Here is a 16,145-nt window from a genome sequence, read left to right as displayed (position 1 = left end):
TATTTCTATTTTGGCACCTAACACTATTATAGTTAAGGGTCTTTTGGCATTTCCATTAAAACGTTTTCTTAGAGAAGTTTATAACTTGGCAGTTTTACTTGGCTTTGGGCTGAAACATTGCTGTTTTTGTCCAAAAGCAAATTCTTCCATCAAATTTCATATAACTGAAATTGCCTTGGTTTATAATGTGTGGAGGGGGAAGGGCTATCAGAATAGGTCTTTTTTTGATACTCTCACAAGTGCTTCGATTATACAGTAGTCTTGTATGTGATATTTATTCTTATGTTTTATTCTTACCTCAGTAAGAATTTATTTTTGTTACACACAATGAATAAGTTCTGGAGAGCTGTTGTATAACATAGTGCCTGTAGTTAACAATATCGTGTTGAGTATTAAAAATTTGTTAAGAAGGTAGATACCAGGATAGGTGTTCTTACCACAAAGCAACCACCACCACCACATTTGGGGCATGAGGAAACTTTTGGAGGTGATGGAAATGTTTATTACCTTGAATGTGGTGGTGGTTTTATGGGTATTTGCATATGTCCAAACTCACCAAATTGTATACTTTAAATATGTGCAGTATATCAATTATACCTCAATAAGGCTGTTTAAGAAAATTTTTAAAAATGATTTGAAATATTTTGGTAAAATAATTCATCTCCATGGGTTCCTGTCTTTAAAGAGTTATAGTACTATTATGTATTTTAAAGTTACTTTTGGCCAGGCGTGATGGCTCATGTCTGTAATCCCAGCACTTTGGGAGGCTGAGGTGGGCAGATCACCTGAGATCAAGAGTTTGAGACCAGCCTGGCCAACATGGTGAAACCCCATTTCTACTAAAAAAATATAAAAATTAGCCGGGTGTGGTGGTGCTTGCCTCTAATCCCAGCTACTCAGGAGGCTGAGGCAGGAGAATCGCTTGAACTTGGGAGGCTGAGGTCGCAGTGAGCCAAGATTGCACAGTCTACTCCAGCCTGGGCGACAGAGCAAGACTCTGTCTCAAAAAATAAATAAATAAATAAATTTTTAAAAACTTACTTTTTAATTAGCAACTGCTGTTATTTATTATAAAATTTAAAGTACTTAGTGCGTTGACTATTATATGAAAGGCTTGAATTACATTATCTTAAAAAAATTAAATAAAATAAGACTTTCCTTGGTCTGACTTGCTATTATTTAAAACTTTAGTAACTCTTATAATTAAAGTATACCTTACTTTGAGGGACAAATCCATTTCCTTAGAAATGAGTTAAGATTCATCAGTACTAGTACACAGAACTGGGTCAATTATGTTAGCCATTTACATTTTCCCATAATTTTACTTATCACTCTGTATCCATAAAGTATCCTTTCTGTCTCTGGAGAATATCTTTAGCCTGGGATTTTCTACAGTTTGCACAAGTAGTTCAGAAATGTTTGGTAAATAAATTCCAAGGGTTTCTTTGAAATTAGTCCTGAAGAAGAGGTGCCCATAAAAATCTCTTTTTACATTCTTTGGCATGCCTAAGACTGCCTTGCAACAGTTGTCATAGACAGTAATTCATATATAAGGTGTTAAGTTCTTAACACATTCAAAGAAGACTGGTGACTCACTGCCCAAGATAACATGGTTGAGGCAGCTCCAGCAGTTTGTCGCCTAAGAAAATTACAGAAGAATGTGTTAGAGAAGGCAAGGTGATCACTTTTACAGTATTTTTTATTATTGCTCTCATTATTTATTGTTAGTAATAATTACTATTATTGCCAACAACAAGCTACTTTATTTCTAAAAATTTACTTTTGCAGTTTGCAATTCCTTTATCTCCAGACCTGAAGGCCAAATTTTAATTGCACTGTAATTTCCAATCAAGTAACCATGACACCAGCTGTTCTTGCCAGGCTCTATTCTGTGGTAGAGGGGGAACCTGTGTTCTCTTTACATGGTTATGCTGGAAAGTATATGGATAAGGCAGGGGTCCTGCCTGAAGTAATCCCAGGGTATTTTTAATGTCCTTTAATTGCCATTCAGGATGTAAGTCAGACACAATTGGGTCTGGTCACAGTTTAGGACTACTGAGCCCTGTTTATATAAAGGTGAATTTAGCAAATAAATCTGAAGCTATTACTTATGTACAATTTATTTTTCTTTAACATCTATTGATTTCTAAGCAATGTGAAACTAGTTCCAGTATACTCTATGTATTATATGTCTTCATTTTGTTTTGTTTGTGATCCCTGGATAGCATTGGCAGTGAGGTGGGAGGAGGAGATGTAATTGAGAATTTGACAAGGGCCTTGCTACCATAATCAAACTGAAACCTTATCAGACTTATTTGAAGTTTTCAAGAAGTCCGATTTTCTTGAGGTTTGATAATGTTAACAGATGAAAAGTATATGACGTTAAGTTTTAAGTCTGTCTTTCTATGTATTTGCCATAAAATTCTGTTTTGCATTGCTTGGGTGATGTAGTTGTGAACATTTTAAATTTACATGCAAATTTCATAGTAGTCATCTTTCCTTCAGGTCCAAGGAAAGTATGGCAGCAGATATGCCTTCTGTCTTTTGCCTTGGAGGGATTTTGACCTGACCTGAAGGTAGAAGATTGTTGTTTTTTTGCATTTAGCTTAGGTTACCTACAGGGATAGGAAAGATGTGGATTTCTTTTAAAAGAGTACTAAGAATTTTAACATTAGTATCTGACATCTTTTTGCTTTGAGTTATTATTGACTGTTAGTTTTGGTTATCATAATTGTTTATCTACTACAGCCTCTAGGAGGACATTGTACCTAGGGAGATTTTAAAAAATCAAACTTAGTATGAGGCCAGAATACGAATAATTTTATCATTAATTACATTTCATTTCCCCTAATGCTTCTTATGTGTGAGAGTAGTACTTGTTCTTAAGTGACCAACATATTTAATGTACTATGTCCATATATTAAAAGAATAGAAACTAGTCTTGGCAGACACTGAAATAGTTAATTGGCTTTTACAGCCAAGATAGTTTTATAAAACTTTGTGAAAATTAAGAAACGGGAAGAAAAGTATTTTTCTATGCACTAATGGCATATTTTATTAACCCTTTACCTTAGGCTATAACATTTTTTTTTTTTGCAGCATTCTTTCATTAGATAAGCAGCTGGAGGAAGGAGGCTAGTTAGTTTACTGTAATTGTTAAATATCTACAAACATTCAGATAGTTAAAATAATTATTTCCATATAAAATCCTGGGTAGAGGTGAGGTTTTTCTAAAAATAAATGATAATTTTGAGAAAGGAATAAGAGCAGCGACATAATTCTGACTTTGAGACCTGTAATCTTTGATAGCAAACTTTTTTTGTTTTTTTTTGAGACAAAGTCTTGGTCTGCTGCCCAGGCTGGAGTTCAGTGGCGTGATCTCAGCTCACGGCAACCTCCGTCTCTTGGGTTCAGATGATTCTCCTGCCTCTTCCTCCCATGTAGCTGGGATTATAGGCATGAGCTACCATGCCCGGCTAATTTTTTATATTTTTACTAGAGACATGGTTTCACCGTGTTGGCCAGGCTGGCCTCGAACTCCTGACCTCAGGTGATCTGCCCACCTCGGTCTCTCAAAAGTGTCGGGATTATAGGTGTGAGCCATGGCGCCCAGCCGCAGACTTTTAAATACAGCATTTAGAAAGGTTTGATGACATCTTATGGTCTTTAATTGGACTGAACTTTTACATTCTTATTAGTACACATATAAAATCAACAGCTTTTCATGATTCGGCATTTACATCTTAAATCCTGCACTTTGCTCTGTTAGGAAATAGAGCAACACTGGATATTTCAAGCTAATAGGAAAAGTCTACATTTGATACAGAAAAGTTACCTTACGCAATATTGAGGAGCTAGTGAACAAGGGTTAGGGGGTGGGGGTGCCAGAGACCAGAGCATGCAAGAATGAGAGAGAGATTACATTGTCCTCTTCCATTTTAGTTGGTAGTTTCTACTGAAAACTGTAAAGTTTAACTTTTTGGAATTGTAACTATCCAAAGTGGGAATGTAAACTATATTGAACAAAATTTATTTAGCCTGTTAAAAAGTCAACCTAAAACTATGGTTAATTAGTTTATATTATTACATCACTTTTAGTAGAGACTCAACAATCAGTGCAGAGTAAGAGGAGCTATTATCAGGTGAGCTGACTGCTACCCATATGGGGCTTTAAGATAATGATGAGTTTAAATTTCCTCTTAGAGCTAAGTGAGAATAAAACTGGAGGCAATAAATACTCTTGGCCAAAGCCATTAAATGAAAAAGCTGGGAATTCTCCAGCTCTTGACTTAAATTGTTTGTTTATCAGCTGGCGCCTAGTCTGGAGTCAAGAGCTGGAGATTTCTATCTGTGACAGAACTTTGAAACTCTTGCAGGACACTTTCATTTCAACTTAAGGTAACTTGAGTTTATAGCTTTGGCTTTAAAGATTACTAATGATTTACTCATTTCCTTACCATTTAACCAGAGTGGACTTTTTCCCAGGAAGGGATCTGTGTTTATTTAGGGCCTTTGTCTGCGGAGGGATTAAAAGGCAGCCCACCAGCATTGTGAACTTGATGGTCATAAAAGGTCACCAAAACACACCATAAAAACATTCTTACCATGGAATTAATTATACAGTGTAATTTTACAAAGCAACTTGGTTACTCCATCTTACCCCCTCCCCCATATTTAAACATTTCAACTTTTAAAAAGTAAATCTTTGGTATAATTTTGGTTTATGAAAAAAATGTTTTATGATGTTTAAATGCTGAGGAAATTGTCATGTGCATATGTACAGTTTAATTGCTTAAAAATCTTAAAATTTTTGAAATGAAAATGATCATTTATTGTTAAACTGTGGGATGAATAACTTGTTTGGGAGGAGGTTAGAGTAGTCAGAAGAGTTGGTTAGTATTTCATAGAACAGCTCAGTTTCCAAAAACCTAAGTCCAGCTAAGAATTTATCTGTGCCACCAGGTGGCATTGCATCCAAACCTGCTAATGATAAAAGGATTATAAAATATATTATTTTTTGTTAAAGATATAACGATTTTACTTTTGAAGTTGACTGAAAACTACATCTGATATCAAGGTTAAGTATCTGCAAAGAATTGAAAAGATTTCTAAACTCTAAATATTTGTTTTTAGGTTGTTGATATTAAAACGAAAGTAAATGAAAATGAAATATTTGGAGGGGATTGCTATTTTTCATTTAGTAAAATAAGCATTTAACATTTGGCTTTTTTTTTTTTTTTTTTTTTTTTTTTTGCTTGTCTAAACACTGGAGAGGGGAATCCAGCGTATAAAAATTCTCACAAATATTTCAAATCCCCGCCCCCCACCATGTGGCAAGATTCCACCCCCCTCCCTGGGTCTTGTAAAAAAAAAAAAAAAAAAAGTGTCAGCAGGTTTTACTGTATGGGAATTTTTAAAAAGAGGGAGAAACCTCTGAAAGGTGCAAGTTGGTCCTTTTCACAAGCCTAACTATGAGATTCATTAGGCAGTTCATGTTCATGTCTTAAAAGCTGTTTTTGGGAAAGTAAATTCTTGAGTTTCCTGTACTGTTTTTCAGGGAGTCTTTATAGTCTTTTGAATCAGCTCATTTTAAAACAGTGATAATGTAAAAAGCACAATAAAAAAAGGCTCATTATAAATTTTATAAAAGTGTGATTTTTTTCATTAAAATACGTATTCATGTTCTATTTTTATGAACCCATAAATATAAGTTAATAAACTGTAGCAGAAACAATTAAATTACTTAATACAGCTATCCAGGTGATAGGATATGTTGTCAGAATAAATAAAGCTCAGTGTATATTCTATTGATTTTTATTCTTTTAAAAAATGTATTCACCATGCAGAGTGATGTTTAATGCTTAGCTTTGATCATTTAGCAAAAAGCTTAGTGCTACTCATTTTATACTCTTGCCTCTTCTGAGGCTTCTTAATGTGCACAACCTGTTTTAAGAAATGTATATGTTTTCAAAGTAAATGTTTGACCTCCCACCTTGATGTTCCCACTTAAAAGCAAAACCCTCCCCTCCCTTATATTTTGAATAACTTGATGAGAATGTGTGTTGTACTAAAACTAAATATATGCACCCTTCAGTATTACCAAAAGAGACCTTTTGGTTTTAAAAATTAGGAAATTTCACTTTTGAAAGTAGTCTAGACAAAGGTACTCATGACATTTGACCCTGAAATTTTTACTTTTAAACTTGATGCAACAGTCTGCTTCTTAGCTTTGTTGTATGCTAATATTTCTACTTATTTAACATCAAAAAGCTGTAGAGGTTTCTCTTTATAGATTATGCCTGTGTTCTGGAATTGCCTCCTGCTGTCCATGAATTGCTTCTTGGCTTGTTGTGTTAGAATTTCTCACCAGGGTCTTTTGTGAGCTATGTAGCCAACATTAAAAAAAAAAAAATCAAATTTGATAGAGTAAACTGGACTAGTAAAAATTATACTTACTATTCATAATTATAATTGAGGTTTCTTGGCTCAGCATATCAATTTTATGCAGTAAGAGTAAGCACATACAAATCTCATGTAATGATATGCATACATATAGTTGCCTACAATGACTGTTTTTCTAGTTATTTCTATAATATTAAAATGATTTTTTTGCTGAAATTCCAGAAATCTAAAAACATTGAAAAATAATGATAATGAGAAAAACAATTCTTACTTGTTAGGGTATATGTTATTTAGTAATGAAGCATTTAGATTTTGGATTCTCTCATTTCAGTTGGAAATAGTATTGGTGTAAGTGAGTGTTGCCATGGGAACCTCCACATAGATATAAAAGGCAATACTGTCTAAGTGGAGGAGGAGGGGCGATGTACTGAAATACCACTGGCCTAAATGATCTATTTTATGTATGTGTGTTGGTGTGGGGGTGAGAGCTAGGATGAAAAGGGGAGAGAAAGTACTACAGAAAGTAAATGTTAGCAGTCAAAGCAATTTACTCACACTTTTGGATTCTTTTAGATAGAAGTGTTTTAAAGCTCGAAATGTGATTCTTAATTATTGGTATCATTTGCACACACTGGGGAGTCTTTGCATATCTTATTTTTAATGTACAGTGGAATATGTTTAACTTACTTGGTTTTAGATAAAATTTAATTTAGTGAAATTTGAGAGTTAGGATTTCAGTCTTTGAAATGGCTTTATACATGTTATTAAAGATGTTATATTTAATTCTTTTTAAATATCTGAAATTTAGAAAAACTGATTAGGACACAGTTAATGTGGCTTTCAAAGAAAAGCTGGCATTTTGGCTTTATAGTATTTTTAATACTAGATTTTTAGTAATTTTCTATAAATATATAGGCAAGGAAACAATGACTTACTGTATCTGCATGTGTAATATTTTATGGTTAAAAAAATAAAGAATGAAAACAACAAAACCTAACATAAAATCTTTTTATATCCCTTAGGAGCACATAAAGATTGTAGAGATAGAGATGATTAGAGAACAACCAATTTAACTGCATGCAAAGTAACATTTTTGTTTTTTGTATGTTTAGGTTACAAAAAAACAATGAAATTGTGCCCAACCTGAGTTAGCCTGGTAAAATGCAGCAGCATCATCATTGCAGTTTTAACACTATGGATTCTGGTTGTCAGATACAAATATAAAAAAAAGAAGAGATATTAACTGACAAAAACTGTTTAAACTTACCTTTTTAGTCAATCCAGAGAAAAAGCTGCCAAGGTAATAAAACATCCAGAAGTTTTTAAGTTAAAACGAGTAATTTAAATTAAAAGGGGTGAGGGGGCATGAGCAAGCAAGGGAGAAGAAAAAAGGGGTGAAAACGACAGGCACTTTGCTTCCTGGGCCTGGCTGTATCTGATGTAAATTAACCAGCAGTGGGGAGTGTATTGTTTCCAACTCCACATAAACAATGCTGGGTATCTCTTTGGGAATGGGTGGGTGCTGGGATGGATGGAGGTTGTTGAGAAGGGAACTGGCAAGCAGAGTTTATAATCTATTAGTGGATTTTTTTTGGCATGCGAAACATAGTAGGAAAGAGTAAATAATGAGAAAGTACGTTTGCATGTAAAATTGATCAAGTGAAACCTTAAAATGATGTGAAATAATTCATAATTGTTAGAGAATGCTTATTTGTCAGTAATCTTCAGGTTTAAAAAAATTTTTTTTAAAGACTGACGCCTTGTAATGTAAAACGTTCAGCAATGAAGATACCCAGTTTTAAGTGTACTTTTGGCATAGTATATCAGCTTAGCTCTAAACATGGCTTCTAAAAACTAAAAGACTAAGGAAACTTGTATTTCTTTGAAAAATAGGTAACAAGAGGGATGAAAAGTCAAGTTTATTTTTAAAAATAAGAGAATGAAAGTAAGAGCTACAACATCCATGTTGTTTTTCTGTTTCAGTTTTTGCCTGCTGCTTTTTCTTCCCTGCACTCTTTCTTGGAATAAAATCTGATAGTCTTAACGGAGTGGAAAGTGTGAAAATGCACACAGCCTTATCAATAAGTAGATTCAAAACATCTCTAATCACCTTAAAGTTTTATAGTGCAGAATTTTCTAGAAGTCAACTGATTAATTAAGTACCTTTTGTGTGTCAGTTTATCACACTGGGTTGTTTCTGTATTTTAAAACATTTCATCCTTATAGCATCCCCATGAAATGCAGATTATCCTCTTTTTTTTTTTTTCAGTGAGGAAGTTGAGTCTCAGGAAGGCACAATAGGACAATATGCAATTTTAAGAATTAGCCTGATTTAGCAAAAATAAGACATTTTAGGTAGAGGATTTTCAATATTATTGCAGGAGACTAATACATTCAAGTTTGGAGTTTCTTTGGGTTGCTAGAATAACTAAAAGGCTTTGGTTTGTTTCATTTAAAAACAAAATAGAGAAAAATACTTTTTCTTGTTCTATCGATATCACACCATTCAATGACCCCACTCCCACACAATACCCACAATCAAAATATAGAAAGAATTATTAGCTAACCAAAAAAAGTTCACATAGGTAATCTAAAGTAATTTTATTTTTGGTTTTAAGTGCTTTAATCTAGTTAACTAAAGGAACAAAAAGGGCAAACATGTATAAACAAGTGAAAACCAGAATTTTTAACCTTCTAACATAATATCCTTCATAGGTCTTTTAGCAATTGGATTATTAAAAAGCCAGAATACCTTATTTAGTTATTAATCATAATATGAGTACACAGGACAGCTTTACGTATTTTCCCCTTTACCTTAAATTTTTAAATTTTTATTTTCCAACATTACCCAGTTAAATGCACTTTTATAACTTTTTAAATACCCAAAATTGACCTTTACAAAATATCAATGAGAATTTCAGTATTCAACATTAATCACTGATAAGCTTTTTTTTAGCACGTTTATAGTATAGGTATTTAACGTTAATACATGATTAACAGTGTATCAAGCTTATTGCACAATCATAATAAAATACACTATTCAGTGCTAATTAGGCATTGCAATTATCATTTGGTGTTGTACTGAAAGAATTATATTGGTAACTGATGCTTTTCATCTTGTTAGTATTTTTAATCCCTCTCAATATATATAATCTTTCAGTAGTTTCATCAAAAGAAATCTGTTCCAACAACTTTAAACAGAGGACCTTCAAGAGTGTGAGGTGTGTGTAATAGTTTTATCTTGAAGAGAACTCAGTGAAAGATACTTTCTAGATTATGTTAAAAAGATCCAATCAACCGGCCCATACTCATCATGATTTAACTTTTACAGTTTTATACATAGGTTTCATTGAAGGCTGTAAGAAAATCTGATGTTTATAACATTTTCCTTTGCCAGTGTTTGTCTGAATTTTGCAAAGATCAAGTATCCAAAGTACGAAATGCTAGTGTATTTTTGGAAAACAAACCAAAACCCACTTACCCAATAGATTTTACATATTCTAAGAACGAGAATTCAGTAGTCTGGTAAGTCTGGCTTCATAACTCATAGATTTCTTGCACCAAATAAGATTGTCAGCAGTTTGGAAAGAAGAGTAAAGAAGAGGCTCTTCTTCTTACATTGGTGTGTTCAAAAGTAAAATATAAACCAGTATTTTTGTTACTATAGCTTAGAGCACTAAAGAAGAGCCATCTACCAGTTTCCAGATTGTTTTAGAAGTAGTGTCTGAAGACCTTTTCATTTCAACTTGTTCTTATTCTAAAGATTCCTGGCTCGTTATATACTAAATTGTTTCTAGAAATGCTTACTAGATAGGTTGCTGTGAAAGGAAAGGTTTCGAAAAGGATGAGTAGAGAAAATTACTTTTGAAAATATATTCTGACCCTCACCCTTACTGGGATAAAGTTCCAAGGGAATAAGGATTATTGCTAGCCAGAAAATTGCCCAACTAGATAGTGATGAAAACTGGAGTTTAGCCAACTCTTATTTTTGTGTGATTTTACTCTTTTCCTGTGGTTGGTTGGATTGGCAAAGACCTTTAGTGGGTTGTTTGATTATGGCAGGACCAAGGTCAAGTTTAGCTTTGCCTGACTTCAATGATGTTATCTTTTCAAACCAAAATGCCTTATGATAATGAGATTCTTCATTTAAAAAAAAAAAAGAACAATTCTTGATCTTTATGCATGTTTTGAGTGATGTGTTTTTTGAAGATAGAGGCTGTAACTTTAAAAGGGTAGATTGTTATATTCTAGGAAGTATGCTAAGTGAACATATGACAGTGTTTTCATGAAGGAGAGATGATATGGGAAAACCATAGCAATAAAGGTGAAGAAAAATAAGAAATGTGAAAGAAGACCCATTCTGTTTTTGTTGTTTAAGGGAGAGAACTCCCTGACCCCGTCAAAACATTTTAGCATCTGAGAAATAAGAAGTTACTTATCTCTGTTACTTCTTCCATATCCCATAGTAACTTAAACTTTGATTTTTTTTTCCCATTGGCAACAAAAATGTGATATAGCATTCCTTTTACTTATGTCTGAATTTTGAATTTTTTGTGTGATTATAAGACAATATATACAATTATAAAGGACCAACAAACATTTACTTACAATTTTCCATGCAAACCTTTTTTGAAGAAAAAAAACTTCCCTTAAAAAAAAACTGAATGTTTTAAACAATTGGTATTTGGTTTTATTTGTATTATTTTACTTTCTGTTGTTCAGCTGTAATCAATTTTTTTTTTTTTTTTTTTTTTTTTGGAGACAGAGTCTCGCTGTCACCCAGGCTGGAGTGCAGTGGCGCCATCTGGGCTCACTGCAAGCTCCGCCTCCCGGGTTCACGCCATTCTCCTGCCTCAGCCTCCCCAGTAGCTGGGACTACAGGTGCCTGCCACCACGCCCAGCTAATTTTTTGTATTTTTAGTAGAGGTGGGGTTTCACCGTGTTAGCCAGGATCGTCTCGATCTCCTGACCTCGTGATCAGCCCGCCTCGGCCTCCCAAAGTGCTGGGATTACAGGCGTGAGCCACCGCACCCGGCCATCAATTTTTAAAACTAATTAAAAATTGAAATACAAAGGATTTAAAACAAAGTTTGGGAAGGGAAATTGATCTAATTGGCTCTGCTATTTTTCTGCATTTTCTATAGAAATTCCTTTAAAAAATGTTCTTTCATTTTAATCCTTCTTTAAGTTCAACCTAAGGAATGCATTTGATAAACTTTTTTATTTGGATCCAAAATAACAACTCTGACGGACTAATTGGTACATACATCATATGTGAACACATTTTTGATATGATGTTTGCTTTCTGAAGGGGTCCTTAATTATTCCCTTTCCGTAACGAACTAAAATTTTTGAATGGGAGCAATCACATATCATTGTAAGATGTTCTGCATTTGACATAGATGATTATGTTACTGTATGTCGAGTTTGAATTGTACTCACTTTATGCCTCTTGGTGGTCATACTTTTTCTTTTTTTTTTCAGTGCTCACTCAGTACATAAAGCTTGTATGGGAAAGAAGTCCTTGTTTCCTGTCTTTGTTGGTATTTGTAGGTTCCTAATCTTCTAAGAGTCTTGGGATGTAGATCTGTACCTCATGACTAGGGTTGGGTAGTTTTTATGGTGAGGAAGAGGGGAAAAGATAGTATTGAAGCAATTCCTGTCTAGGTCTGCAAAGTGCAGATTGCATTTCTCTTGCAGTGGTGTTAGGTATATGGCCCTTTTTTGGGAAAGTGTTTGGAGACCTTTATCTTTCTCTGTTTTGTTGTGGCAGATGGAGTTGTCCTCTGGTATTTTTGCTAGGTATGATAAATGTTGTACTAAAACTGCTTGGTGGAAGTTTATTCTGGAAAGATTACTGTTCGTTTCAGTTTCCTGAAGAAAATGGAATCATAGTATTCAAACCATTAAGCAAACAAGTCCACAAGCAGACCAGCAATAATAATGTGTACTTCTAATTGATGCTTGTGATTCTTATTCCTTCTTTAAAACAAAGGTTTAGGAATAAAAACCAGGATTGATTATTAGTTTTGTCTAAAATAAAACAAATGGTAGAAATAGTCAAACATTTTTCTTCATAACTTCTAGAGAGAAATATCTAGATAATGAAGGATTGCCCTTATTTTATAAAAGAAAATAAAAGCAAAGAAGTTATGTGGTTCTTTTATATTCCAGAAATAAAATGTTCAATTCTCCCATTCATGTAGCATAGCAATCTTTAGTTTTATTCTGATTAGTTTGACTAATAGTATTTTTAGATAATTGTGTACTTCTAATAGCTTTTATGCAGTCTGTAATTTATCTACACTTGTGTTGAAAGCTGTTAGCCACCACTTACCTACTGGATGGAAATAAATTTTTGATTGATTAAATTCTCCCAACAAATAAACTTGTTGCTAAAAACAAGTAGGAGATTCTAATCACATTGCTTGGCATTTAGAGACAGAGTTTCTTTCTTCTTTCTTGGGTGATTCCCACTGCAGATGTGCTTTGACACAACTGGGAGTAAATTTATAGCCTGAACTGAGTCTGTGGGGTGATTCGCAAACTTTTATTATCCTCCATCTCAGCTATTTGCCATTAATATTTTCTTATACTAATACAGGTAATCAAAATTTGATCTTGGATCTGAAACGCCCTCTTCAAATTCCTTTATATTTTATTTTCTATCTTATAGGTATTCTTTCCTTCAGTAGTTAGGAGCAAAATAAGATAGCAGCAGCATCTGCAGTCTTAAGCCCCTCTTTTTATTGGTGTTGGAGGAAAGTAGTGAACTATGATCAAAACAGTAAGTGGTCTTAGTGGTATCTGGAGTCCACTCATGTCTTTGACTATGATTATGGCATCTGAGATACAGGATGCAAAGGAGTCTGGTTTGGGGGATTCTGGTAGTGCCTCTTATAGTGGTGTAGCCTCTGTACCCAGCACATTATTCTAAGCCTGAAAATACAGGATTATTGACTCCGAGCATCATGATTGTTTTTTTTTTTTTACTGAGTCTATGGGAAGCTCGGAGCTACACTTTGGTACCCAATAATAATCATCGTTTTCCCCTGGCCTTCCCTCTTTCTGTGTGGTTTCTATTTTCACTTGTGTCTTTAGCTTAAAAAATATTTATTTAGTCCCTACTATCTGGTAGGCACTGAGAATACAATGGTATACATGAGAGACCTGCCTTCCTTCCTTTTAGTGCTTATAGTGCATATGTTTCTGTCATCTTACAGATTATCTCAAAATCCTTTTTGGAAGTAAATATATGAATTATAGGGCCATCAGGTTTTTGTGCTACGCTGTCTCTTTTTAAAATCTTTCTCTATGTACTTTTATTCCTGCCTTAATTTTTATTTTCTTTGCTTATTTTTTCCGATTTTTTAATAAAATTAAGACTCTCTACATCTACTTTTTCCTTAACACTTGCCTTAATATTTAAAAAAAGTTTTTATTGCATATATATGCATATACACACTTTTTTAAAAAACAAATGGGATTTTTTTGCAAATTACTTTTTTAAAATTTCATATATCTTTTCATATATACAGCTTGAGCATATGAAATCTGAAATTTGAAATGCTCCAAATCTGAAACTTTTTGAGTACTGACATGATGTTCAAAGGAAATGCTCATTGGAGCATTTCAGATTTTGGATTTTTGGATTTGGGATGCTCAGCCAGTAAGTACAATGCAGATATTCCAACATCTGAAAGAATCTGGAATCCAAAACACTTTTGGTCCCAAGCATTTTAGATAAGGGACATTCAGCCTGTAATAAATTTACTTTATACTTTCAAATTACTACAAAATATTTTATTTTGTAGGCAGACTTCTGCTATTACAGAGGCTACTCTGAATATTCTTGCAGAGATATTTTCATGTAAATGCAAATTTATCAGTAGGAGAAATTTTAAGAAATGATATTTCTAGGTCAAAGAGTATGTGTGTTTTAAATTTTGGTAGATGTTGCCAGTCTTTTCATCAAAGTTTTTACTTCCACCAACAATGTAGGAGAATGTTGTGGTCCGAATGTATCCCCCAGAATTCATGTGTTAGAAACTTAATTCCCAGTGCAACAGTCTTGGGAACTTTTGGGAACTGTTTAGATCATGAGGGCTCTGCCCTTGTGAATGGATTAATAATGTTAGAAAAGGGCATGGTGGAGGGAGTTTGGTCCTTTGGTCCTTTTTTGCCTTTATGCCCCCTTCTGCCATGTGAGGACACAGCATGCCTCCCCTCCAGAGGACACAGCATTCAAGGTGCCTTCTTGGAGGCAGAGCTGGAACCCTCACCAGACAACAGACCTGCTGGCACCTTGACTTGGACTTCTTAGTCTCAGAAATGTGAGAAATACTTTTCTGTTCTTTATAAATTACCCAGTGTCAGATGTTTTGTTGTAGGAGCACAAAAGGAAAAAGAGCATTTATTCATACATTTGCAACAATCTGTTTGGGGGAACTGATACATTATCTTTACATTTCTTTTCTAGTCTAATAAGAAGTAAAAAATAGTATAGTGTGGTTTTGATTTTCTTTTCTTTTTTTCCTCCAAATTACGATCTTGTTTGAGCATTTTAAGAACATTTATTAGCCATTTATTTGCCTTTTTAAAAAGTGATTGCTAATTCCTGTCCTTTATGCGTAATTTTATTAGATTTATTCATTCAGCAGCTATTTCTTGAGTACTTACAGTTTGCCAGGCACTGTGCTAGGCATTGATCTTTTCTAATTGGTATGTATGAGTATCAAATGCTCATTCATTTATTCAATAAATATTATCTGTCATATACCAAGTACTAGTCTAGGCCTGGGAATATAGCGGTTCACACACACACACACACACACACACACACACACACACACACACACCTGCCCTTATGGAAATTACACTGTATTTTTATTTATTTATTTATTTTGAGACAGAGTCTCTTTCGCCTAGGCTGGAGTGCAGTGTCACAATCTAGGCTCACTGCCACGGTCTAGGCTCACTGCAACCTCTGCCTCCCAGGTTCAAATGATTCTCATGCCTCAGCCTCCTGAGTAGCTGGGATTACAGGCACGTACCACAATGCCTGGCTAATTTTTGTACTTTTCATAGAGACGGGGGTTTTGTCATGTTGGCCAGGCTGGTCTCGAACTCCTGTCCTCCAGCAATCTGCCCACTTCAGCCTCCCACAGTGCTGGGATTATAGGTGTGAGCCACTGCGCCTGGCTGGAAATTACATTTTAATGAGTATGAATATGCGTGGGGAGATAAAAATGTTGCAAATATTTTCTGCCAGTTTGTCCTTTCTTTATTCAGTTTATGGTAATTTTTAAAATACAGAAGCTTGGAATTATCATACAGTTGAGTGTATCAGTCTTCTCCTTTATGGCTTCTGAGTTTGGTGTCCTATCCAGAAAAGGTTTACTGTCACTAAGTTTGTAAAATTAAAAAGAAATTTATGTACATCTTCTTTTAGTTATTTTGTGATTTCATTTTTAAAAACTTAAATTTTTTATTCCTTTGCAGTTTATTTTAGTTGAAGGGGTGAGCGTAGAAATCTAGATTACTTTTTCTTTTAAAAATATATTTAATGAAAGTCTGTTTTTTTACCCTAATTTCAAATGCCCCATTAATTTCATACACTCAGTTCCAGCATGTATTTGGGTCTTTTTCTGAGCTCTCTGTTGATATCTCATTGTTGAGTGTTTCCTGAGTAGGACAACTTTCCGTTGCTTTATTTTACTGTCTGGAAGGGTAGTTGTCTTTCA

General features: G+C 34.1%; 1 protein-coding gene and 1 long non-coding RNA gene across 5 annotated transcripts in view, besides 1 other annotated feature; both read left to right on the top strand.

Annotated features, from left to right (window-relative positions):
* HIBADH (3-hydroxyisobutyrate dehydrogenase) overlaps positions 1 to 16,145 on the top strand; it is a 137,442-nt gene that overhangs the window by 52,044 nt on the left and 69,253 nt on the right. The window lies entirely within an intron of this gene.
* Positions 1,576 to 8,446, top strand: LOC107986699 (uncharacterized). The gene is made up of 2 exons (XR_001744911.2): positions 1,576 to 2,576; positions 4,310 to 8,446. It is a non-coding gene; the product is annotated as an uncharacterized LOC107986699 (long non-coding RNA).
* Positions 7,443 to 8,203: an enhancer, noted in NCBI's record as "OCT4-NANOG hESC enhancer chr7:27642256-27643016 (GRCh37/hg19 assembly coordinates)". NCBI's record gives its function as "activates a minimal SCP1, AML or CMV promoter by ChIP-STARR-seq in primed H9 embryonic stem cells {active_cell/tissue: H9 hESC(primed)}" and the evidence as "EXISTENCE:reporter gene assay evidence [ECO:0000049][PMID:30033119]".

The sequence above is a fragment of the Homo sapiens genome, chromosome 7 (assembly GCF_000001405.40).
Source record: "Homo sapiens chromosome 7, GRCh38.p14 Primary Assembly".
Classification (NCBI taxonomy): Eukaryota; Metazoa; Chordata; class Mammalia; order Primates; family Hominidae; genus Homo; species Homo sapiens.
Note: the sequence above shows the minus strand (reverse complement) of the source record. Positions and strands in the feature narration are given on the sequence as shown.